At 44.0% G+C, this 24,111-nt stretch overlaps 1 protein-coding gene and 2 pseudogenes across 2 annotated transcripts, besides 1 other annotated feature; 2 read left to right on the top strand and 1 right to left on the bottom strand.

Annotated features, from left to right (window-relative positions):
- EIF4A2P4 (eukaryotic translation initiation factor 4A2 pseudogene 4) lies at positions 297 to 1,587 on the top strand (annotated as a pseudogene).
- A 3,381-nt stretch (positions 1,588 to 4,968) lies between these two features.
- On the top strand, positions 4,969 to 12,619 carry LOC107985641 (X antigen family member 3-like; annotated as a pseudogene).
- Positions 7,096 to 8,062: an enhancer, noted in NCBI's record as "NANOG-H3K27ac hESC enhancer chrX:52855217-52856182 (GRCh37/hg19 assembly coordinates)". NCBI's record gives its function as "activates a minimal SCP1, AML or CMV promoter by ChIP-STARR-seq in primed H9 embryonic stem cells {active_cell/tissue: H9 hESC(primed)}" and the evidence as "EXISTENCE:reporter gene assay evidence [ECO:0000049][PMID:30033119]".
- Positions 12,620 to 15,928: 3,309 nt separating the features above from the next.
- Positions 15,929 to 22,943, bottom strand: XAGE5 (X antigen family member 5). Of its 2 annotated transcripts, NM_001386970.1 has the most exons (6): positions 22,818 to 22,943; positions 22,511 to 22,682; positions 21,592 to 21,671; positions 20,985 to 21,090; positions 19,013 to 19,138; positions 15,929 to 16,039 (listed from the first exon to the last, which is right to left on the bottom strand). In NM_001386970.1, exons 3-6 carry the CDS (start codon positions 21,661 to 21,663, stop codon positions 16,017 to 16,019), a joined length of 327 nt encoding a protein of 108 aa, NP_001373899.1. In that variant the 5' UTR covers positions 21,664 to 21,671; positions 22,511 to 22,682; positions 22,818 to 22,943; the 3' UTR covers positions 15,929 to 16,016. The 2 variants fall into 2 exon arrangements, with proteins under 2 accessions (NP_001373899.1, NP_570131.1); NM_130775.3 differs by lacking the exons at positions 22,511 to 22,682; positions 22,818 to 22,943 and adding an exon at positions 21,970 to 22,026.
- Positions 22,944 to 24,111: the final 1,168 nt, after the last annotated feature.

The following is a 24,111-nucleotide window of genomic DNA, read 5'->3' as shown; positions in this document are numbered from 1 at the left end:
TTATTTCTGTCACAAAAGAAATACATCCTCCACTAAGGGTGACATGGGACTGTGTGTTTCCAGTGTTTCTTGATGCAGGAGATTGTTTGGGCAAAGAAACAAAAGCTCTCTTAAGTCCCTTTCTTTTTACTAAAAAATGCCCTGTGGATGCGGATACAGGTGTTATGGGATCTTTGGGGTGTCGATTTTCTGGCTGGAAACCTCTGTGGCTGGTGGCACCTTTGTTCAAGTTCTTGTCCTGCATCCAGGAAGTATAAGGTACACAGACAAGTGGAGGGTAAACAAGACAAAGAGGACTTTTCAGTCGGGCACTGAGTGGTTTTTTGGATCATGTCTGGTGGCTCCATGGATTATAACAGAGAACGTGGCAGCCCAGAGGGAATGGACCCTGATGGTGCCATTGAGAGCAACTGTAATGAGATCGTTGATAACTTTGATGATATGAATTTAAAGGAGTCTCTTCTTTGGGGCATCTATGCTTACGATTTTGAGAAGTCTTCTGCTATTCAGCAGAGAGCTATTATTACCTGTATGAAAGGGTATGATGTGATTGCTCAAGCTCAGTCAGGTACTGGCAAGACAGCCACATTTGCTATTTCCATCCTGCAACAGTTGGAGACCCAAGCACTAATGCTGGCCCCCACCAGAGAACTGGCTCCACAGATCCAAAAGGTAATTCTGGCACTTGGAGACTATATGGGAGCAACTTGTCATGCCTGCATTGGTGGAACAAATGTTCAAACTGAAATGCAAAAACTGCAGGCTGAAGCACCACATATTGTTGTTGGTACACTTGGGAGAGTGTTTGATATGTTAAACAGAAGATATCTTTTTCCAAAATGGATCAAAATGCTTGTTTTGGATGAAGCAGATGAAATGTTGAGCCATGGGTTTAAGGATGAAATCTATGAGATTTTCCAAAAACTAAATACAAGTATTCAGGTTGTGTTGCTTTCTGCCACAATGCCAACTGATGTGTTGGAAGTGACCAAAAAATTCATGAGAGATCCAATTTGAATTCTGGTGAAAAAGGAATAATTGACCCTTGAAGGAATCAAACAGTTTTATATTAATGTTGAGAGAGAAGAATGGAAGTTGGATACACTTTGTGACTTGTATGAGACACCGACCATTACGCAGGCTGTTATTTTTCTCAAGGCCCAAAGTGGACTGGCTGACTGAGAAAATGCATGCCAGAGACTTCAGTTTCTGCTCTGCATGGTGACATGGACCAGAAGGAGAGAGATGTTATCATGAGGGAATTCTGATCAGGGTCAAGCCGTGTTCTGATCACTAGTGACTTGTTGGCTCGTGGGATTGATGTGCAACAACTGTCTTTGGTTATAAATTATGATCTACCTACCAATCGTGAAACTATATTCACAGAATTGGCAGAGGGGGTCTATTTGGGAGGAAAGGTGTGGCTACAAACTTTGTTACTGAAGAAGACAAGAGGATTCTTCATGACATTGAGACTTTCTACAATACTACAGTAAAGGAGATGCCCATGAATGTGGCTGACCTTATTTAATTTCTGGGATGAGAGTTTTGGATGCAGTGTTTGCTGTTGCTGAATAGGCAATGACAATATGCATTGTGGTTCTTTCTTTGGGACTATTTGGATCTTGTCTCAATGCTCATAATGGATCAGAAATATAGATTTTGATAGCAAAGCTACATTAGTCTTGAGCTCTTGTGAGGAAAGTCATTGGCTTCATCCTCTTTAGAGTTAGACTGTTGGGGTGGGTATAAAAGATGGGGTCTGTAAAATCTTTCTTTCTTAGAAATTTATTTCCTAGTTCTGTAGAAATGGTTGTATTTGATGTTCTCCATGATTTAATAATATACTTGTGGACTAAAAGATATAAGTGCTGTATAAAATCAGCCAATTATGTTAAACTAGCATATCTGCCTTTATTGTGTTTGTCATTAGCCTGAGTAGAAAGGACTTTAAAATTTTTTTTAGGAAGCATTTGAATGCATTTTGTTTGGTATTATATTTATTCAGTAAAATATTTAATTAGTGCTAAGTGTGAACTGGACCCTGTTGCTAAGCTCCGGCAAGCAATCATCCTAGGTAGGGTTTAATCCCCAGTAAAATTGCCATATTGCACATGTCTTAACGAAGTTTGAATGTTAAGTAAATTGTATGTTCACTTTTTAAAAAAACAAGACATAGAGGAGCTTTATTGAGTGTTAGAACAGCTCAGAGGAGATCCGCAGTGGGTAGTTCCTCTGTAGGCAGGTTGTTCACTCAAGTGTTCAGCTCTCAGCAGAGAGGAGGCCCTGAAGAGTGTGGCTCCTCTTTGCAGGCAGGTCTTTCCAATGTCTGCAGCTCTTAGCAGGGAGGAGGCACTGGAGAGGGTAGCTCCTCTCTGCAGCTGGTCGTCCCATTGTCTCTCCATCCTTTGCCCTGCTCTGGCTGAGTCCCAGGCATTTACGGACCTCGGAGGGGAGAAAGTGCATGTACATTGGTCCATGGGTGGCCATGGATCGGCCCAGAAAAGGCACCACAAGTCCACACTCTGGTCTCTGGGATTGGCTGCCTGGCCAGTCCCTGGTCTGAAGGTGGGTCCTTACCAGGGACTGCCCCCTTCTGCTCTGGAGCCGGTCTGCCTCCCACTGCAGTCTATGGTGCCCAGGCTGCTCACACCAAGGGGCACCTGCAGGCCTCCGCCCAGCTGCCCTCAGCACCTCCTTGGCTTCCCCTCTCATGTTCCTCAAAAATCAAATGCTGGAGTGTCTGAGGTGGCAGGGGGCTGGCATGCCAGTGCTGGCCTGGCCATGTGCACACTTGGCTGAGCTGTGACAGTGCAGGGGCTCAGCTCCCAACCTGCTCTGAAATCAGAGTGGGTGCTGAGAGCAGGGAGAGATCAGGCAGTGGGTGCTGACACTTCCAAGTCTGCAGGGACAGTGGGGGCCTTCCTGGGCTTCAGAGAGTGCAGGCTGCAGACACGCCTGGGTCTTGCACCTGGGAGGGCAGTTGCAGCTGCTCCTGGGGAGCTCCCAACCCACCAACTCTGAAGGGGTGGGGCTCCCACCTGTCCCCAGCTCCTGGGTCTGCAGCCATAGATCGCTTGGCTGCAGCTGCACCCAGGAGGGCAGGGATCCTGCCTGCTCACAGTCCCCCCAAGAGGACAGGGAGGCTTGGATCTGTAGCCACAATATGCCTGCTCCATGGAGCTAGAGGTCTGGGTCTACAGCTGCTGTTTGGGCAGCTGCAGGTGCACCCAGGAGCTCCCTCCCCAACTCGTAAAAGATGGGGATCCCACTTGTCCCTGGCTCCTGCTGCCTCCACAGAGCGTGCAGCCCTGGCTGGGCCTCCCTGCTGCAGCCAGTGTGATGGCAGCAGCTGCTGCTATCATGGTGACAGTGAGGAAACTCTGGCTGTCCCTGAAAGTCCCTGGCTCAATGTGCATGTTCCTTCCTATGCAAGTTCCTGCTGCCTGTGGGTCTTGCTGTCTGCCTTCTGTCCCTGCAGAGCTGTGGGAGGAAATGTTGTGACTTCTTTCTTGCTGACTATGACACATCAGGTGGGTCCACAGATCAGTCCTCCCAGAAGTTGAAGTGTGAGTGAGTGTGAGGGAAAGTGGGCAGACTTCCCATGGGTTGGGCCACTTGGTCCGTGGCCTGACAGAGAGCCTCATCCTCCTACTAGAAGTCAGCGACACCACCATGCACTTGCTCCCTTGAGGGGCCTGGAAAAGGGAGGAACAAGGGCCATAGAGGGGAGGAGGGTCAGGTGAACACGGAGTGAGTTTTGAATGGTGATATTGGGGTATTTGAGTCTCAGAGGCATAAAAAAACACACAGGGAGGATGGATTCCAAAGTCCTTAGTGGGGTCCTAGGAAGGGATGGAGGAAAGAGCAGGGGGAGGGGGGAGAAGGAGGGACACCACAGCCCTTAAGGCTAGCGCACATCTCACTGCGCATGCTATTTGGGCGCCCACCTCAGTGCACATGTTCACTGGGCGTCTTCTACTCTACCCCTTCGCCCTCGTGGTGAATGCCTTGGAGCTGTGAGGCCAAGTTCCTAAGGTCTAGATTCTTTCTCTCCTACTGAGATGCAGCAGGTAGGTCCACAGGCCAATCCAACTGGGAGTTGAAGTGTGAGTGAGGGTGAGGAGGAGCCAGTGGGCTTCTGGAGGGTCACCGGTGGGAGGGAGACTCAGAGGGAGAAGGGCCTCGAGGTCTTCATTCTTTATATGTGGCACTGCAGCCATGGGCCTTCTTTTTTGTCGGGGCCACAACTGGGGAGGAAGGAGGGCCTCGGCATGGGGGGGACTGGGTTATGATGGGGTGCATACTGGGGGAGCTGTTGGAGGTATCTGAGTCCCAGAAATGCCTCAAGCCCCCAAAAGAGGACAGATTGTAGACTCCCCAGGGGGGACCCAGGCAGGGACGGCGTGGGTGGCAAGGAAGGGGCCTGGGAACTGGGAAGGCTGCGGGTTGGTGACTTCAGCCCCGAGGTCTGTAGAATGCCAGGCACAGGTGTCCAGTGAGGAGCACCCAGTGCTGTGTTGCAACTTCTCAACTCCATGAGGTTTGAATGGACGGGGCTTTGTGGTCGAGCAAAACTTGATTTTAGGGAGGAACTGGGACCAGGAAATGGGTATGTGACAAACACTGTGGTCACTCCCAGTTTAATTCTCTAGTTCTATTTTCCTACATGTCTCCATGATGGAAATTCCAGCTGTGAAACCAAACCACATCAGAGATATCCAGTATCTCTTGCCAGGAGCCTTAAGACATTGATAGCTTGACCACCTTAAGTGATTGTGCAAGCATTCTATTCAGAAGACACACAAACTTATACTTGCCCTGGGACTTACCTTCAAAGTATTTCCAAACTTTAAAAAAGTGACACGTTAACATTTGGCCATGGAAGTGCTCAAATATAGCTATCCTCTCAAGTGCCATTTCCCAATCACAGTGTTCTGTATTCTCTTTGCAGAGTGAAATATAATTTGGCGAGGAAGATCAACATGTAGGCCTAGACCAAGACGAAGTTTACAACCTCCTGAGCTGATTGGGAGTATGCGTGAGTGCTTTAACATTCGTTGTTTTCTATTAGCAGAAATTATTTTTTTTTGTGATAGTGTCATTGAACTAGTATGCATACACTGTTAAAGGTCTTCCGAGCTGATAAAAAATGATCATGGCATCTCATGAAGGAAAGACTGGTCCAAGAGGATTACGTTGTGTGTGTTTTTTTTGGAGACGGAGTCTTGCTCTGTCACCCAGGCTCGGCTCACTGCAACCTCCGTCTCCTGGGCTCAAGCAATTCTGCTGCCTCAGCCTCCCGAGTAGCTGGGACTACAGGTGCACGCCGCCTCGCCCAGCTAATTTCTTTTTGTATTTTAATAGAGACGGAGTTTCATCATGTTGCCCAGGCTGGTCTTGAACCCCTGAGCTCAGGCAATCCGCCTGCCTCAGCCTCCCAAAGTGCTGGGATTACAGGCCTGAGCCACTGTGCCCAGCCTACATTCTGATTTTGCCTGGATGGATTCCCCAGATTTTGCCCATGACTTCCTCCGTATGCTTATTCATAACAGATTGCACACATCCATCCCAACATAGATTAAACTGCCTTCCAAAGCCCTTGAGTGTAACTGTCTTAGAGTAACCTCTCTGTGGGAAGAATAACTTTATGAATAATAAGTATGTGGAATAGTGTTGGAGAAATGTCTTTAGACTTATGATCAGAAATATCTATGTATTCTGTATATTTGCATTATTGACATGTATTTATAACAAAACTTTTTTTTTTTTTCCCGAGATAGAGTCTTGCTCTGTCACCCAGGCTGGAGTGCAGTGGTGTGATCTCGGCTCACTGCAACCTCCGCTTCCCGTGTTCAAGCGATTCTCCTGCCTCAGCCTCCCAAGTAGCTGGGATTACAGGCATGCGCCACCACGCCCGGGTAATTTTTGTATTCTTAGTAGAGACAAGGTTTCACTGTGTTTGCTAGGCTGGTCTCGAACTCTTGACCTCGTGATCTGCTTGCCTTGGCTTCCCAAAGTGCTGGGCATGAACCACTGCGCCCGGCCAAAACTTTTTATTTATACACACACAACCACAGTCCCAGGAGCCCAGTGATGAGGAGCCTCGAGAGGAACCACCAACTGAAAGTCGGGATCCTACACCTGGTCAGAAGAGGGAAGATCAGGGTGCAGCTGATATTCAAGGTGGTGGGAAGGGAAAGAAAGAACGTCTATGGGGGGAGGAGGCCTATGTGTGCATCATGCATTATGCCATGACCGGTAACAGGAGGAAAGAAAACATTAGGAAAGGATCGCAAACATTTGCTGAAAGTTGGCTGGAAAAGTGAAGAGTACAGTTTACAGCTTCATGCAGTCCCTGGATATAAGGAATCTTCTCCTAACTTTGAAATATATTTTGTGCCTCCCTCTCCCTCTCCCTCTCCATCTCCCTCTCCCTCTCCCCACGGTCTCCCTCTCTTTCCACGGTCTCCCTCTCATGCGGAGCCGAAGCTGGACTGTACTGCTGCCATCTCGGCTCACTGCAACCTCCCTGCCTGATTCTCCTGCCTCAGCCTGCCGAGTGCCTGCGATTGCAGGCACGCGCCGCCACGCCTGACTGGTTTTGGTGGAGACGGCGTTTCGCTGTGTTGGCCGGGCTGGTCTCCAGCCTCTAACCGCGAGTGATCCGCCAGCCTCGGCCTCCCGAGGTGCTGGGATTGCAGACGGAGTCTCGTTCACTCAGTGCTCAATGGTGCCCAGGCTGGAGTGCAGTGGCGTGATCTCGGCTTGCTACAACCTACACCTCCCAGCCGCCTGCCTTGGCCTCCCAAAGTGCCGAGATTGCAGCCTCTGCCCGGCCGCCACCCCGTCTGGGAAGTGAGGAGCGTCTCTGCCTGGCCGCCCATCGTCTGGGATGTGAGGAGCCCCTCTGCCTGGCTGCCCAGTCTGGAAAGTGAGGAGCGTCTCTGCCCGGCCGCCATCCCATCTAGGAAGTGAGGAGCGCCTCTTCCCAGCCGCCATCACATCTAGGAAGTGAGGAGCGTCTCTGCCCGGCCGCCCATCGTCTGAGATGTGGGGAGCGCCTCTGCCCCGCCGCCCCATCTGGGAGGTGAGGAGCGTCTCTGCCTGGCCGCCCCATCTGAGAAGTGAGGAGACCCTCTGCCTGGCAGCTGCCCCGTCTGAGAAGTGAGGAGCCTCTCCGCCCGGCAGCCACCCCATCTGGGAAGTGAGGAGCGTCTCCGCCCGGCAGCCACCCCGTCCGGGAGGGAGGTGGGGGGGGGTCCACCCCCCGCCCGGCCAGCCGCCCCGTCCGGGAGGGAGGTGGGGGGGTCAGCCCCCCGCCCGGCCAGCCGCCCCGTCCGGGAGGGAGGTGGGGGGGTCAGCCCCCCCGCCTGGCCAGCCGCCCCGTCCGGGAGGGAGGTGGGGGGGTCAGCCCCCCGCCCGGCCAGCCGCCCCGTCCGGGAGGTGAGGGGCGCCTCTGCCCGGCCTCCCCTACTGGGAAGTGAGGAGCCCCTCTGCCCGGCCACCACCCCGTCTGGGAGGTGTACCCAACAGCTCATTGAGAACGGGCCATGATGACAATGGTGGTTTTGTGGAATAGAAAGGCGGGAAAGGTGGGGAAAAGATTGAGAAATCGGATGGTTGCCGTGTCTGTGTAGAAAGAAGTAGACATGGGAGACTTTTCATTTTGTTCTGCACTAAGAAAAATTCTTCTGCCTTGGGATCCTGTTGATCTGTGACCTTACCCCCAACCCTGTGCTCTCTGAAACATGTGCTGTGTCCACTCAGGGTTAAATGGATTAAGGGCGGTGCAAGATGTGCTTTGTTAAACAGATGCTTGAAGGCAGCATGCTCGTTAAGAGTCATCACCAATCCCTAATCTCAAGTAATCAGGGACACAAACACTGCGGAAGGCCGCAGGGTCCTCTGCCTAGGAAAACCAGAGACCTTTGTTCACTTGTTTATCTGCTGACCTTCCCTCCACTATTGTCCCATGACCCTGCCAAATCCCCCTCTGTGAGAAACACCCAAGAATTATCAATAAAAAAATAAATTAAAAAAAAAAATAAAATGTCGCCTGTCAAGCGACTGCTTATGAAGGGTTATTCCTCAACTAAATATTTCTAAATGAGTCTGAGGTCTGTTGGCCTTCAATCTCTACCAAAACCCAGAGAACTTGATGATGCCTTTGTTTTCAGAGAATCCTTCCAGTGTGCTGGCTGACAGTTCCATGAGGATGGCAAAAGTGAAGAAATTGTAGCGCCAGTAAAAAAGAGATGGATACACTTCTTGGGAATTTTTTAAGCTATGGGACATGATGAATTAATGGTGCATGAGTATACTCTTCACTGTGAAAGTTTTTGTTTTCACATCTTTCATTAGATGTGTGTAAGAAAAAGATACTGAACGTAGTATCTACTAACCCAATAATGAAAAGGAATGCCATTTGCTATTTACACTTTATTACTAAAATAAACCTAAATTTAATTAATAAATTTTGGAAACATAAAAAAAAAGAAATATATTTTGTGTACTTGAAAATACAGTCCTTGCTAAATCAGATGAAGCAGTTTAATTTTATGCATAAATATGCAGTGTGCCATTAGTTTAATTTGTTCTTCTTAGAATGTTGTTGTATAATCTTCTAAGCCATTGTGTCAACAGTGCTGTAAGCACCCTTTAACAGCATGTGGAGTGCCAAGTCATCCTACCTTATAACACCCTGAATAAAGCCCATTTGCGTAAGGATGGTAGCCCCATTTTATAAATAAGCAAACTGAGGCTCTGAAATGGAGGTTTACCAAGAACCTTTGTACTCATGGAGACAGAATTCATATTTTGTCCCAAGGTTTGTGTTATCCATGTTGTAATAAGAAAAGGTCAGTGGTTTTGCTTAAGATACTTACTATTCGAATGTGTGTGTACTGTAAAGTACTTCAGTATTGGCTCAGGACGAAACACAGTTCAGTGAAGCAGAATAGCAACTCCAGAAAAGAGCTCAATAAATGACAGCCACTCTTTGATTGGTATCCTTCTGTATTTTTTCAGGATGTTTGGCAAAAGGTGGGTAATTCAGGACACTGGCATACAGGTAGCTATATTAGTATGATTTCGAAGGGGCTTTTAAAAGTTGTAGAAGCACTTTCATAATTAGAAAACTCAAAGTACCATAAGTTTATCCTGAATCAGAAGTTGTTTACTCAGTAGATAGCATTTTTGCGTTAAACACTGGCAGAATTTGGGCCATGGATTATTTTAGCAATTCACTGTTAAGAGGTTTCCAGAATATGACTGTCAACAATGACCACTAATTTATTTGCACTCAACCTCCTGTACCCTTACTGGAAGATAGTGATTTTCCTGTTATTTTTGGTACATTATTCTAAATGTGATTCATTTATGTAAAGTTACATATGGGGCCCTTAGACCTAAGCATAATGTTAATTTATCTAAATAATTTTCAAGTTACCTCAACAAGGGATGGGTGTCACAATTGTAAGATGTCTCATAGGCAGGCCAATACGTTGATCTAATCCTTCAGAAAACTGCATTTCATTTAGGATTAAAATTCTATCCATGTGGCAGACTTCAGATTTCTTAGTCGATATTCACTGTTCATAATTCACAATGGTAAAGTATGGGAAATGTAGGTGTGGTGTGATTTATCCTCAGATTATCATTTAAGATAAGATTCCATAATATAGGAAAACAAAAATGTGACATCTTTACATCACATTTATTACCACAGTAGTCTACAGGCTTTTATTTCATAACACTGAGGAAAATAGTATTATCATTTCCTTATTTGTCTTTCTTGTTTGCCTGCTTCAATCAAGAACCTCTGTATTTTTCAGTGCCTGACCTGGAAGCTGATCTCCAGAGCTGTCTCAGTCAAAGACTGGGGATGAATGCGGAGATGGTCCTGATGTTCAGGGGACAATTCTGCCAAAATCAGAGCAATTTAAAATGCCAGAAGGAGGTATGCTACCCATTAAGATGCAAAATTATGTGCTTTCTGTTTTTCACAATATTATACTTTTGATAATAAAAAGAGAGAACATTACTGCCCCTTTAAAAACACAATTCAAATGCAGGCTTTCTTTGAAAAGTTGTTCAGACCCCAAATGCCTGACTGGAAGACTTAAACACTATCAGATACAGAAACAAATTGGGTCAAAGCCATACTGAATCATCAAATATGAAAGCATTTTCTTACTTGTGACTATAGCCAATAGCCAACAATTTTCAGATTTTCTAATTTCTGCTTTAAACAAATACATAATGCATTTGTAATACCACTTTGTGTGAAATATGCTGAGTACTGAAGGAGGTTCTAGTACAAGATCTAACATAATTTGTGAGATTTTGGATGAATTCCAAAAATTCTACATCCATCTTTTTCTATTGAAAATAGTAAATGCAAATCAGATATATTAAAATCTGTTTCAAGATTGATTTCTGTATTTTCATGTTCTGTTGGATAGAATACAAAGATATTATTTGTTTCTCATAACAGTTTCACTCCAGTTATAATATCTGATTTGAGATTTCATGGTTCCTAAGAAAAAGAGTGGGCACCCTGCTTGATGTTTGTTTTCCTGTATGGAGACCTAAATGACTGTTCTTGGATTTTGTTAAATTTTGAATTCTCTGGTTCTTAAGGAATAATTGTATTTTAAATCCTTCCCGCAGTGAACCCTTGAATGACTGAATAATAAAATGGCAAGAGACAGTCAGGTTTCTGTGGCCGATGTAGTAGGGAGCATGCATGTAGGTCAGTGACGCTCAAAGTGGGTGTAAGATGCCTGTGCTAAGCATGCTCCCTGCCCTTCTGTCAGTCTTCATGAGCTACTGTGTGTGATTAGATTGAAGACACATATGATAGAATCACCTCTAACCATATCAGAGGTTACATATTACAGGTTTCTGCCTTGAGACATCGGATGATACGACTTACAGTTCAAAGACTATAACGTCCTAATTCGTGAGTAGTCGACATAAGTATCTTTTACACATATTTTCCAAATTGCTGACTGTTAATAGAAGAGCTTCTGAATTTCAAGGGAGCACTCCATATTTAGGGAAGAAATTACCTAAAAGTTTGGACTCTACACTGCTGAACCATTCCATTAGACCATTTACATACAAAGACAGTTTTCTTTGGGAGGCCGAGGCGGGCAGATCACGAGGTCAAGAGATTGAGACCATCCTGCCTAACACAGTGAAACCCCGTCTCTACTAAACAAAACACAAAAAATTAGCAAGGTGTGGTGGCGGGCGCCTGTAGTCCCAGCTACTCGGGAGGCTGAGGCAGGAGAATGGCGTGAACCCGGGAGGCGGAGCTTGCAGTGAGCCGAGATCGCGCCACTGCACTCACTCCAGCCTGGGCTACAGAGCGAGACTCCGTCTCAAAAAAAAAAAAAAAAAGAAAGACAGTTTTCAGTCTATTTCCAGGAGCCTATTGAAGAAGCCTCAACTGTATGCTTAGGAAGATTATAGTCCTAAATGCACATCTTATTAAAATAGATAACACATTACATGATAAAGGAGAAGAATAAAAAATAAAAAAAAAAGAGCAATAGAATAAACCTAAGGGGAAAGGAAAGAGGAAATGAATAAAAGACAGATACGAATCACTAGTAAAAGGAAAACGAATCCAAAAGTAACAAATTCAAAAGATTTTTTTGGGGGAAATAGTTATGAATAGAGTATCCAGTAGTTTACACACTCGGAGAAAATGGAAAAAGGTCAACACGGAACATGAACAAGACACAGATATTGAATTTAGGTTATAACTGAAAGTGAATACATTCTTGAACTCTAATATTTTCAGTGTATGGATGAAATGGTTGATATGCTAGGCACATATACATTATTTAATATATCCCTATAATATGTGAATACCTAAACATCACGAAGACTGGAAGAACTGAAATTTGCTAGTTGTCCCTCAAAAACTCTTACTTTTAGAAACAAATGGTTGGCTTCTCCAGATGTCTTACTGTCCTTTCCATTTTCCTATCCCTCTATTTCCTTTTTTTTTTGGCCACACTGTTCATGATATATAACGGTTTCACGTTTTGACATCAGGAATGATAGTGATAGCTTAAAACTAATGTGACCATATAATTAATTATACAAACGGGAATACTTTCAAGTGTAAAAAGGCAGTATTCATATTGACATTAGCACTTTAAGTGAAAATTGGGGAAAATGATTACTGTACCTTAAAAACCACAGAAGGGTAAACTAGCCCAAAGAAACACTTTTGCACTTCTGCACAATAGAGAAAAAACAAATGCAATAAACTGTTTTCTTAAAAGATAGTTTTCAGACTATTTCCAGGAGCCTATTGGACATCCAGAACGTAGTTTCAAGCTAAAGCATTAAACATTTTTTTGTAAATTCCTTTTGTTTCTTAACTTTTTTTGTGTGTTGGTTATATTTTTAGCAAAAGTATACACAATGTTTGCTTTCTACTTTGAACCACTTTTTAATAGGTTCACCTGATTTAAAGTGTTCTGACCTCTAACTGTCTTTTGGTTTCCTTGTAGCACTAGAAACCAGGGTGTGTTTAAAAAGTATTGATAATGTATATGCTTGGAAATCTATCTTCAAAATCTCTACAGAGGTCTAACTGCATGTAAGCCAATGGGTGACTCATAGGCTTCTGGTTTTGGTCTATTGTATGAAACTAAAACGTTGGCGTCCTTTGCATACCTTTAATGTCACCTAAATACAGTTCTGCTAGTAATGTTGTTCTATCATAGGTGAAAGGCAACTACAGGTTTAAATGAATACAAGCTGAAAGAACGCAAACTGGTTTTGTATTAGACATTTGACTTAAAAATATCTCAGAGGACCTCACATGCAGAAGGAGGGCAGGGAACACTTGTGGAATTGTAGTGATCTCTACATGGTTGGATGACCAAACCCTAAGTCACGTGGATGTCAGTCTGCAGAGGGCGGGAGGGGAATGCCACAGGCCTCTGCTTTAGGAGCCATGCAGCAGAGTGAGACCAACCTGCAGTACTGATCTCAGTTATGCCCTTTAAGGGTCCCAGACATATGCAGCCTATTGGTTAGGGTTCCTCATTGCGCGTGCACGCGCGTGTGTGTGTGTGTGTGTGTGTGTGTGCACGTGTGGGTGGGTGGGTGGAGAGAGAGAGAGAGAGAGAGACTGAGTTTGAAGACCTAGCCCATGGAAGTGTTGTGACTGGCAAGTCCAAATCTCACAGAGCAGGATGTCAGGCTGGAGACTCGGGGAAGAGGTGATATGAGAGCTCAAATCGAGGGCAGTGTGGAGGCAGAATTTCTTCATCTTGTGGAGGACCCCTGTCTTCTTCTCTGAAGGCCTTCAAGGAACTGGAGGAGGCCCACCCACATTGGGTAGGGCAATTAGGTTTACCCAAAGTCTGCTGATTTAAATGCTAGTTTTCATGTAAAGAAAACACTTCATGGATACATCTACTGTGGTCAAAGTGAACATTTCTCAGGCATCGTGGCGTAGCAAAGTTGACACATCAAATTTCCCATCACATCCATCTTATACGAATCCTATTAATGCTGAAGGTCCATCTGACAAAGGCAGGTGACTTCCTAACTAAGATTCTGTATTAACCATTTTTATCCAGCCCAAGCCAGCATTTCAGGCTCAGCGCAACTATGGACAGGAAGCTGAAGCTGATGTGAATGCCTTCCAGGGATGAGGCAGTGATGGGATAGTCAGGGCATATAGGTAAGAACAATCCCAGAGGGCACAGGTGATACCCCTGGACAACAAGACTTTACCCTTGTTAGGGCACCCGCAGCAGGACATACATTCGTCAGGTAGGAGCTGGCCAAGGCCCCCAATGTGGCCTCCCATTAAGGGACCTTTCCCTCTAGGGTTCCTTGTCCAGTCCAAACAACTGATTTGCATCTTTGGTTTACGGGAGCTGTCAGCAGGCAGCCAGTTCAGGGTAGTCATTGACACAGGTTCCTCCTCCTCACAAGCATGGATGACATCCCTAAGGTGTTCTGTGTGAGATGTTCGGGAGCTGGGTCACCCCTGCTGTCCCATAGTTGCAACTTGGTCAGGTGTGATCTGGGGTTCAGGATTCAGTGTGGTTTCAAAATTGGCCTTATGCTATGACTGTGGGCTCCTCACAGGCAGAGAGACCCACCATCTGTGCTGTCACTGAGTAACTCCGATTCAGTGTGGTACTGTAGGACTAGGGACACAGTGCTGACACGATGTTAATCTTGCTTTTGCTGAGTCTGCAAGTAATCAACCACTTTGATCCATTTGGGCTCATTGTCTTTTACCCACCAAATCTATGAATATATGACAAGACAAAATTACAACTGCACTGGTGATCCTTGTGGCCCCATTAGCCACCACAGGGCTGCTTAGGGACTGCCTGAGCTCTTGACACACGATGATATTGAGTTCTGTGGTGTTGACTGACCGGAATAGACTTATTCTTCATGGCTTCACACACACCAAACAAGTTTTCAGCACATAGTACTGACATAGGGTTGGCCTTGTCACACCTCGGTTATTTACAAATCAACTTCAGAATCAATGCCATGTCTGATGCCAGCTACACTGCTATTTAATTTACATATTTACATCAAATCAGTTTCTGAAGTCAAATGCATTTAAAAAGGTAGACTGATATTCCTACTTGCAATTCCAAAGCAGTTATCACATACTAGAGGTGTAGTTGTAAAGAAAAATGGAATGAAAACATTTGAAATTTTAAAGGGATTAAGGAAAGATAACTAGTAAATTTATCTGCAATGTAATGCCTGCATTGTATGTTATTTCATTTATTCTTCATAGCAAGTATTTAGTCTAAATATTCTAATTTCAACTTTAAAATGGGGAAACAGTCCCACAGGATGTAAGTATCCTGCCCACCATCTCAAGGCCAGTGTTTGAGAGGCAGGATGGCTCTTACACCCATGGCTATGTCATGCCATCGCCTGTAAGGAGACAGTGTAGGTAGGATCCAAGTAATTTTGCTTCAGCAAGTTGCCCTAGTTGCTTTCCCCTTTCTTCTGCCTAGGCTGTAGTTCTTTCATCCAGCTCTACAGCCTGGGGAATTCTCACATATTTTGTGGAAAGTAGGATATCCTAACAAAGGATGCAGATAAAGAGATACATAGGGGAAGGAATAGAAGGAAGAGGCAGGGGGCTTCCATGGCCTCTACGGGCATGCTACCCTCCATGTGTTCTGCTAGGCAGAAGCTCTATGAACCCTGTCCTTTTGGGTTTTGATGGAGGTTTTCATTATATAGGCATGACTGACTAAACTGTTGGCCCGCCATTGGCAATCAACTTAACCTTCAGCCCCTCTCCCTGTCCTGAAGGTTGGGGATGTGGCTGAAAGTGCCAACCCTCTAATCCCCTATCCTAGAGCTACCTAGGAGCTGCCAGTCAATGGTCAACTCACTAGCATACAAAAAGACGTCACTATGAGGCGATTCTAAAACCTGTAGGAGTTGTATGACAGTAAGCAGGGTCCAGGACCAAATATATATATTTCACAATATCACACGTGTATACCAGCTCAATCAGAATACAAAGTTGCAAAAATGATACGATTTTTTATACAGACAGAGTCTCATTCACCCAGGCTGGAGTTGCAGTGGCATGAACATGACTACCTGCATCCTTGACCTCCTAGGCTCAAGGGATACTCCCACCTCAGCCTCCAGAGTAGCTGGGACTACACCTACATACATATATGCATATATTCATGCATTCATTCATTTATTTTTGTAGAGAGCGGGTTTTGCCATGTTGCCCAAGCATGTCTCAATCTCCCAAGCTCAAGCAATCCTCCTGCCTCAGCATCCCAATGTGCTTGGATTACAGGCATGAGCCACTGCACCTGGCCAAAATTTCCAATAGGGTCTAATATGCGAGAATAAATGAACAAAAGATGTGTGATACTTCTTTGGAGAAAACTGGAAAACTTTATTGAGATTTTTAAAAGTCAAATATCTCGGATAAATCCAGTTTGCATTCTTTTGGTTGTCTTCGTTTAAAGCTGTGGTTTCCCTTCCCCTGCAATAGAAACATAACAGGAGGGAACATTACTAGCAGAACTGTATTCAGATGAAATTAAAGGTATGCAAAGGACACCAAAGGTTTAGTTTTATACAGTGGACTAAAACCAGAATCTGAAGAGTCTCCCTACGGCTAATATTCAACTAGACCTCTGTAGAGACTTTGAGGATACACTTCCAAACATATACATTAGCAACATTTTTAAAACACACCCTGCTTTTAGTGCTAGAAGGAAACCAAAAGACAGTCTGAGGTCAGATCACATTAAATCAAGTGCATCTATCAAAAGGGGCTTAAAGTAGATGGCAAACATTGTGTAGAGTTTACTCAAAATACAACGAGAACACAAAAAACCTAAGAAACAGAAGGAATTTCTGAAAAAAAAATTCCTCCAGAAAAAATGCATAATTTAAAGTTTTGGCTTGAGAGTATGGTCTGAATGTCCAATAGGTTCCTACAAATAGTCTGAAAACCATCTTTTGAGAAAACAGTTAATGTCACATTAGGAAATACATAAGTGGAATGAATAGAAAGACCAGTATTGCATTTGTTTTTTCTCTATCGTGAAGAAGTGCTGTGATATTGCTTTGAGCTAGTTTACCCTTCTTTGTTCTTTTTTAACATACACTAACCATTTGCATCCAGTTTTCACCTATAGTCCTCATGTCAATATGAATAATGACACTTTTTTCACTGGAAACTATTCCCGTTTGTACAATTAATTAAATGGTCATATAAGTTTTAAGGTATCAAGATCATGATTGATATTAAAATGTGAAAGAGTTATATATCATAACCAGTGTGGAAAAAAAAGAAGAAATGGATGGAGAGGGAAATGAAAACGGAGAGTAAGACATCTGGAAAAGCTAAATATTTGCTTCTAAAAGTAACTGTTTTTGAGGGACGACTAGCAAATTTCACAAGTTCATGCACAGTCTTTGTGGCGTTCAGATATTCAGGTATTGCAGGGACATATTAAATAATGTAGGCATCCCTAGCATGTCAACCATTTCATCCATACTCTGAAAATATTAGTGTTTAAGAATGTATTCACTTTCAATTATGCCTTACATTCAATATCTGGGTCTTGTTCATATTCCATGTTGTGCTTTTTCCATTTTTTTCAAGATTGTTTAATCTACTGGATGCTGTCTTCCTACCTATTTCTCAAAAGAACGATCTATTAAATGTATTACTTTTGGATTAGTTTTCCTTTTGTTAATGATTCATACCTTTCATTTACTGCCTGCTTCCTTTTCCCTTAAGTTTATTCTGTGACTCTTTTATTATTTTTTATGTCTTAGTATTATTTTCTTGTATCATGTAATTTGTTATCTATTTTAATAAGATATGCATTTAACGCTATGACTGTCCTAAGAATACAACTGAGGCTTGTTCAGTAGGCTCCTGGAAATCGTCTACAAACTATCTATTGATGTAATTAGTCTAATGGAGTGGTTCAGAAGTGTGGAGTAAAACATTTAGATAATTTCTCCCCTAAAAATGCAGTGCATCCTTTAAATTCAGAAGTTCTAATTAAGTCAGGAATTTGGAAAACATGTGTAAAAGATACTTCTGTGGACTACTCAGGACTTAGTACGTTATAGTCTTTGACCTTTAAATCATATCATCTGATGACTCAAGGCAGAAACCTGTAATATATAACCTCTGATATGTTTAGAGGTTACCATATGTGTCTTCAATCTAATTACACACAGTAGCTCATGACGATTGACAGAAGGGTAGGGAGCATGCTTAGCGCAGGCATCTTCCAACCATTTTGAGCATCACTGACCTACATGCATGTTCCCTACTTCATGGGCCACAAAAACTTGACTGTCTCTTTCCATTTTATTATTCAGTCATTCAAGGCTTCACTGCGGGAATGGTCTGAATGTATGGTCTGAATGTCCAGTAGGTTCCTGCAAATGCAATCATTGGGTCCGGTGAGGGAGGTGGTTCACACCTGTAATCCCAGCATTTTGGGAGGTCAAGGCAGGTGGATCACTTGAGGTCAGGAGTTCGAGCCCAGACTGGCCAACATGGTGAAACCCCGTCTCTATTAAAAATACAAAAGTTAGTTGGGCGTGGTGGCACGCACCTGTAATCCCAAATACATGTGAGGCTAAGGCATGAGAATCGCTTGAACCCGGGAGGCGGAGGTCACAGTGAACCAAGATTGGACCCCATCCTGGGCGGCAGAGCGAGACCTCGTCCGAAAAAAACAAAACAAAAACAAACAAAAATAAATAAAACAATAGTTGTTTAAGAGCCTGAGAGAATTCAGGATTTGACAAAATCCAAGAACACTCATGAAGGTCTCCTTATGGAAAAACAAACATCAAGCAGAGTGCCTGCTCGTTTTCTTAGGAGCAATGAAATCTCAACTCAGATATTACAATTGGACTGAAGCTGATCGTTATGATAAACAAATCATGAAAATCCGAATATCTTTGTATTCTCTCCAACAGAACCAGAGCATGTAGAAATCAGCAATGAAATGGATTTTAATCTATCTGATGTGCATTCACTACTTTCAATAAAAGCAAAAATGGGTGTTGGATTTATGTGATTTGTCCAGAATCTCACAAATTATGTTAGAGCTGGTACTAGAATCTTCTTCAGGGATCAGCATATTTCACACAAAGAGGTATTACGAGTGTATTATATATTTGTGAAAAGCAGAAATTACAAAATAATCTGAAAATTGTTAGCTGTTGGTTATAATCAGAAGTAAGAAAATGCTTTCCTATTTGATGGTTCAATATGGCTTTCACCCAATTTGTGTCTGTATCTGATAGTGTTTCAGCTTTGCAGTCAGGCTTCTGGGGTCTGAATTACCTTCCAAAGAAAGTCTGCATTTGAACTCTATTTCTAAAGGGGCAGTAATATTCTCTCCTTTTATTATCAAAAGTATAATATTGTGTAATACAGAAAGCACATAATTTTTAATCTTAATGGATAACATACCTCCTTCTGGCATTTTAAATTGCTCTGATTTTGGCAGAATCTTCCCCTGGACATCAGGACTATCTCCGCATTCATCCCCAGTCTTTGACTGAGACAGCTCCTGGAGATCAGCTTCCAGGTTAGGCACTGAAAAATACCAAGGATATGGACTGGAGCAGCCAAACCAGAATGATAAATAAGGAGATGATCCTATTCTTTTCCTCAGTGTTGTGCAATAAAAGCCTAGAGGCTACTGTGGTAATAAATGTTTGTTTTCCTGTATTATGATATCTTATCTTAAATGACAATCTGAGGATAAGTCTCAGCACACCTACATTTCCCATACTTTACTAATGTGTATTATAAACACACAGCTACCTAGGAAAACTGAAGACGGCCTCACGGATAGCATTTTAATCATAACTTAAATGTAATTTTCTGAAGGATTAGATCAATGTATTGGTGAGCTTATGACAAATCTTATGGTCCTGACACTCATCCCCTGTTGAGGTATCTTGAAAATGTTGGGGTTAAACTTTATTAAAGTAATTCTTAGGTTGAAAGGCCCTATATGTGACTTTCCATACATGAATGTCATTAAGAAAAAAAGTACGAAATATAACAGCAAAATCACTGTCTTCCAGTGAGAGTATGGGAACTGAAGTGCAAAGAAATTAATGAGCATTGTTGACAGTCATATTCTGGAAACCCCTTAACAGTGAATTGCTAAAATAATCCATGGCCCAAATTCTGTCTCTGATTAGTTTGAAAATGCTATCCGTTGTGAAAACAATTTCTGTTTCACGATAATCTTATTCTACTTGGAGTTTTCTAATTATAAAAATATTGAAACAACTTTTAAAAGCCCCTTCCATATCCTATTAACACAGTTACCTGCACGCCAACATCCTGAATTATCCACCTTTTACGAAACATGCTGTCAAAAATGTACATCAAAGGAAACAGTGGCTGTCATTCATTGACCTCTTTTCTGGAGTTGCTATCCTGTTTCACTGAACTGCGTTTTGTCCTGAGCCAATATCGAAGTACCTTATAGTACAGACACATTTGAGTATTAAGCATTTTTAAGCAAAATCATTCACATTTTCTAAAATAGATGGCAGGAAGAATGCACACCTTGGAACAAAATATGAATTCCTTCTCCATGAGTCAAGTTTTCTTGGTAAGCCTCTATCTCTGAGCCTCAGTTTTCTTATTTATTTATTTTCATTTTTTGAGATGGAGTCTCGCTGTGTCACCAAGGCTGGAGTGCAGTGGCGCGATCTTGGCTCACTGCAGCCTCCGCCGCACGGGCTCAAGAAATTCTCCTGCCTCAGCCTACTTAGTAGCTGAGATTACAGGTGAGTGCCACCATGCCCAACTAATTCGTATATTTTTAGTAGAGACAGGATTTCACCACATTGGCCACAGTGGTCTCGAATTCCTGACCTCAAGTGATCCGCCCACCTCGGCCTCCCAAAGTGCAGGGATTACAGGGGTGAGGCACCACGCCCGGCCTCAGTTTTCTTATTTATAAAATGAGGTTAACATCCCTTTGCAAATGGGCTTTATTTGGGATGTTATATGGTAGGGTGACTTGGCACTCCACATGCTATCAAAGGGTGCTTACAACACTGTGAACACCATGGCTGAGAGGATCTCACTGCAACATCCTAAGAATATCAAGTTAAACTGGTGAAATAATGTACATTTTATACAACCAATTAAACGGTTTCATCTGATTTAGGAAGGACTATATTTTCAAGCATACAAAATGCATCTCAAAGAAAAAGAGAAGATTCATCATATCCAGGGACTGCAGGAAGCTGCAAACTATACCCATCACATTTCCAGCCTCTTGCAAAACTCTCAGCAAATGTTTGAGATCCTTTCCTATTGCTTTCTTTCCTCCTGTTACTGGTCATGGCATAAGGCGTGATGCACACACAGGCCTCCTCCCCCCATAGACATTCCTTCTTTCCCTTCCCAGCACCTTGAATCTCAGCTGCACCCTGATCATCTTCTCTCTTCTGACCAGGTGTATGATCCTGACTTTCAGTTGGTGGTTCTTCTTGTTGAGGCTCTGGCACACTGGGCTCCTGGGACAAGGGCGGGGGTGGTGGTGTGTGTGTGTGGAGATAAAAAATTTTTCTTATCAATGCATGTCAATAATATGAATATACAGATTACACAGATACTTCTGATCATATGCATGTTTAAAGACATGCTCCTACACTATCCCAAAACGATTCCACATACTTATTCTTCATTAAGTTACTGTTCCCATAGAGAGGTTACTCTGAGACCGTTACCCTCAATGGCGTTGGAAGCCATTTTAATTTATGTTGGGTTGAATGGGTGTAATGTGCTATGAATAAGCATGAAGAGGAAATCACCAGTGAAATCGAGGAACACAAGTTCACACATCCAGGCAAAAACAGTATGTAGTCTTCTTGGGTTACTCTTTCCTTCATGAGATGCCATGATCATTTTTTATCAACATGGGAGACCTTTATCAGTGTATCTATACTAGTTCAACAATAACTACCACACAAAAAAATTTCTGCTAGTAGAAAAAAATCGAATGTGAAGTCACTCACAAGCATAGGCCCAACCAGCTGAGCAAGTCGTAAACATCGTCTTGGTCTATATCTTCTTCCTCGCCAACTCATATTTCAGTCTGCAAACAGAATAGTGTGCACTTTGGGAGGCTGAGGGGGATGGATCACCTGAGGTCAGAAGCTCGAGGCCAGCTTGGCCAAAATGGTGAAACCCCGTCTCTACTAAAAATACAAAAACGTAGCTGGGTGTGGTAGCGAGCACCTGTAATCCCAGCTACTCGGGAAGTTGAGGCAGGAGAACCACTTGAACCGGGGGGCGAATGTTGCAGCCAGCCGAGATTGCACCATTGCACTCCAGCCTGGGCAACAAGAGCAAAACTCTGTCTCAAAAAAGCCAAACCAAACCAAAGCAAAAACCAGAATATTGTGATTGGAAAAATGCACCTGAGTGTATACCACACTTGAGCACTTCCATGGCCAAATGCTAACTTGCAATTTTTAAAAATTTGGTAAGACATTGAAAAGTAAGTCAGAGGGCATGTATAAGTGTGTATGCCTTCTGAATCGAATACTTGTACAGCCACTTATGTTCGTCAAGCTAGCTGAGCAATCCTTAGGGCTTATGGCAAGAGACACACGGTATTTCCAATGAGGTTTGGTTTCGCAATTGGACTCTCCATCGTGAGACATTTAGGAAAATACAGCTTGAGAATTAAAATTAAAGTGCCCATGGCTTTTGTCACACACCCATTTGCTAGGCCCGTTTCCCCCCTAAAATCGAGTTTTGTTGGAATGCATAGCCCCTTCCACCCATTCGAACTTCCAAGATGGGGTTGAGAAGTTGCCACATAGCACTGGGCAGTCCTCACCGGGCGGGCACCTCTGCGGTTCGTTATACAAACCTTGGGGTGGCGGTCACCAGTCCGGAGTGTTCCCACTTTCTAGGCCCCTTCCTTACCGTCCACGACATTCCAGCCTTGATGTCCCTTGAGGAGTCTGGAATTTGTCCTCTGTTGGGAGTTCCAGGCGTTTCTGGGACTGGAATACCACCAACAGCACCCCAGCATTGCCCCAGCTTCACCTAACCCCCGTCGCACTCCGAAGCCCTCCTTCTTCCTTCGTCCTGACCCCTACAAGACAAGAAGGCCCATAGCTGCGGGGCCGCACGAGAAGGACGACGACATCAAGGCCCTTCTCACTCGGAGTCACCAATCACGCGCCCCGACCCTCCGGAAGCCCGCTGGCTCCTCCGCACTCTCACTCACACTTCAACTCCCAGTTGGATCGGCCTGTGGACCTACTGGCTGCGTCTCAGTAGGGGAGAAAGAATCCAGACCTCAGGGACCCGAAGTGCAGGATCACAGCTCCCGGGTGGGCGAAGGGCCAATGGCAAGGTGCCCAATGAACATGCGCACTAAGGAGGCACCCAAGGAGCATGCGCAGTGAGGTCGCCTCTTGCCTTAAGAGCTGCACTGCCCCTTCAGTGTCCCCCCGTGCCCTGTTCTCTGCTCCTTCCAAGGTCCCCCACTAAGGACTTTGGAATCCATCCTCTCTGTGTGGTTTTTTTATGCCTCTGAGACTGAAATACTGCAAATAATGTCACCCTTCAACTCATTCCGTGTTCATCTGACCCTCCTCCCCTCTATGCCCTTACTTCCTCCCCTGCCCAGGACCCCACAACAGCAAGGCCATGGTGATGTCGCTGCCTTTTAGTAGAAGGATGACAACCTATATGAGGCCATGGACCGAGTGGTCCAAACCACGGGAAGCCTTTCTGCTTTCCCTCACACTCAGACACTTCAACTTCTGGGAGGACTGGTCTGCTGACCTACCTGCTGTGTCATAGTTGGCAAGAAAGAAGTCATGACGTTTCCTTCCACAGCTCTGCAGGGATAGAAGACAGACAGCAAGGCACATGGGCAGCCGGAACTTGCTTAGCAGGGAGCATGCCCATTGAGTCTGCCACTTGCAGGCTGACCGTGGTTTTCCTGCTGTTCTCGTACTCGCATCCACAGGGTGTTTGTAGTGGAAATAAAGGGACTTAAGAGAGCATTTGTTTTTTTTTTGCCCAAACAATCTCATGCATTGAGAAACGTTGGGAACACACAGTCCTATGTCACCCTTAATGGAAGATGTGTCTCAGAAAAGCCTGTTGTGAAAGAAATAAACTATTTTTATATCTTTATTTATAAATTTTTTTTTCAGACGGGGTATGGCTTTCTCGCCCAGGCTGGATGGCAGTGGCATGACCATACCTCACTGAAGTCTGGGTCTCTTGGGCTCAAATAATCCTCATGCTGAAGCCTCTCAAGTGGATGGTACTACAGGTGCGAACACCACACCTGAGCAATTAATTTATTTTTTAGAACGTTGTTTCAGTCTGATGCCATGCTGGTCTTGAATTCCTGGGCTCAAGCTATCATCCCACCTTGACCAATTTTTATAAATGCTTTGATTAGTCACTTTTTCCCTCTGGTTCTCAGTTTTCTGCCATGCTTCTAATGAATGTAATGGAATAAACTCTTCTGCAGACTAAATATATTCACACATGCTTAGTTT

The sequence above is a fragment of the Homo sapiens genome, chromosome X (assembly GCF_000001405.40).
Source record: "Homo sapiens chromosome X, GRCh38.p14 Primary Assembly".
In the NCBI taxonomy this organism is placed as follows: domain Eukaryota; kingdom Metazoa; phylum Chordata; class Mammalia; order Primates; family Hominidae; genus Homo; species Homo sapiens.
Note: the sequence above shows the minus strand (reverse complement) of the source record. Positions and strands in the feature narration are given on the sequence as shown.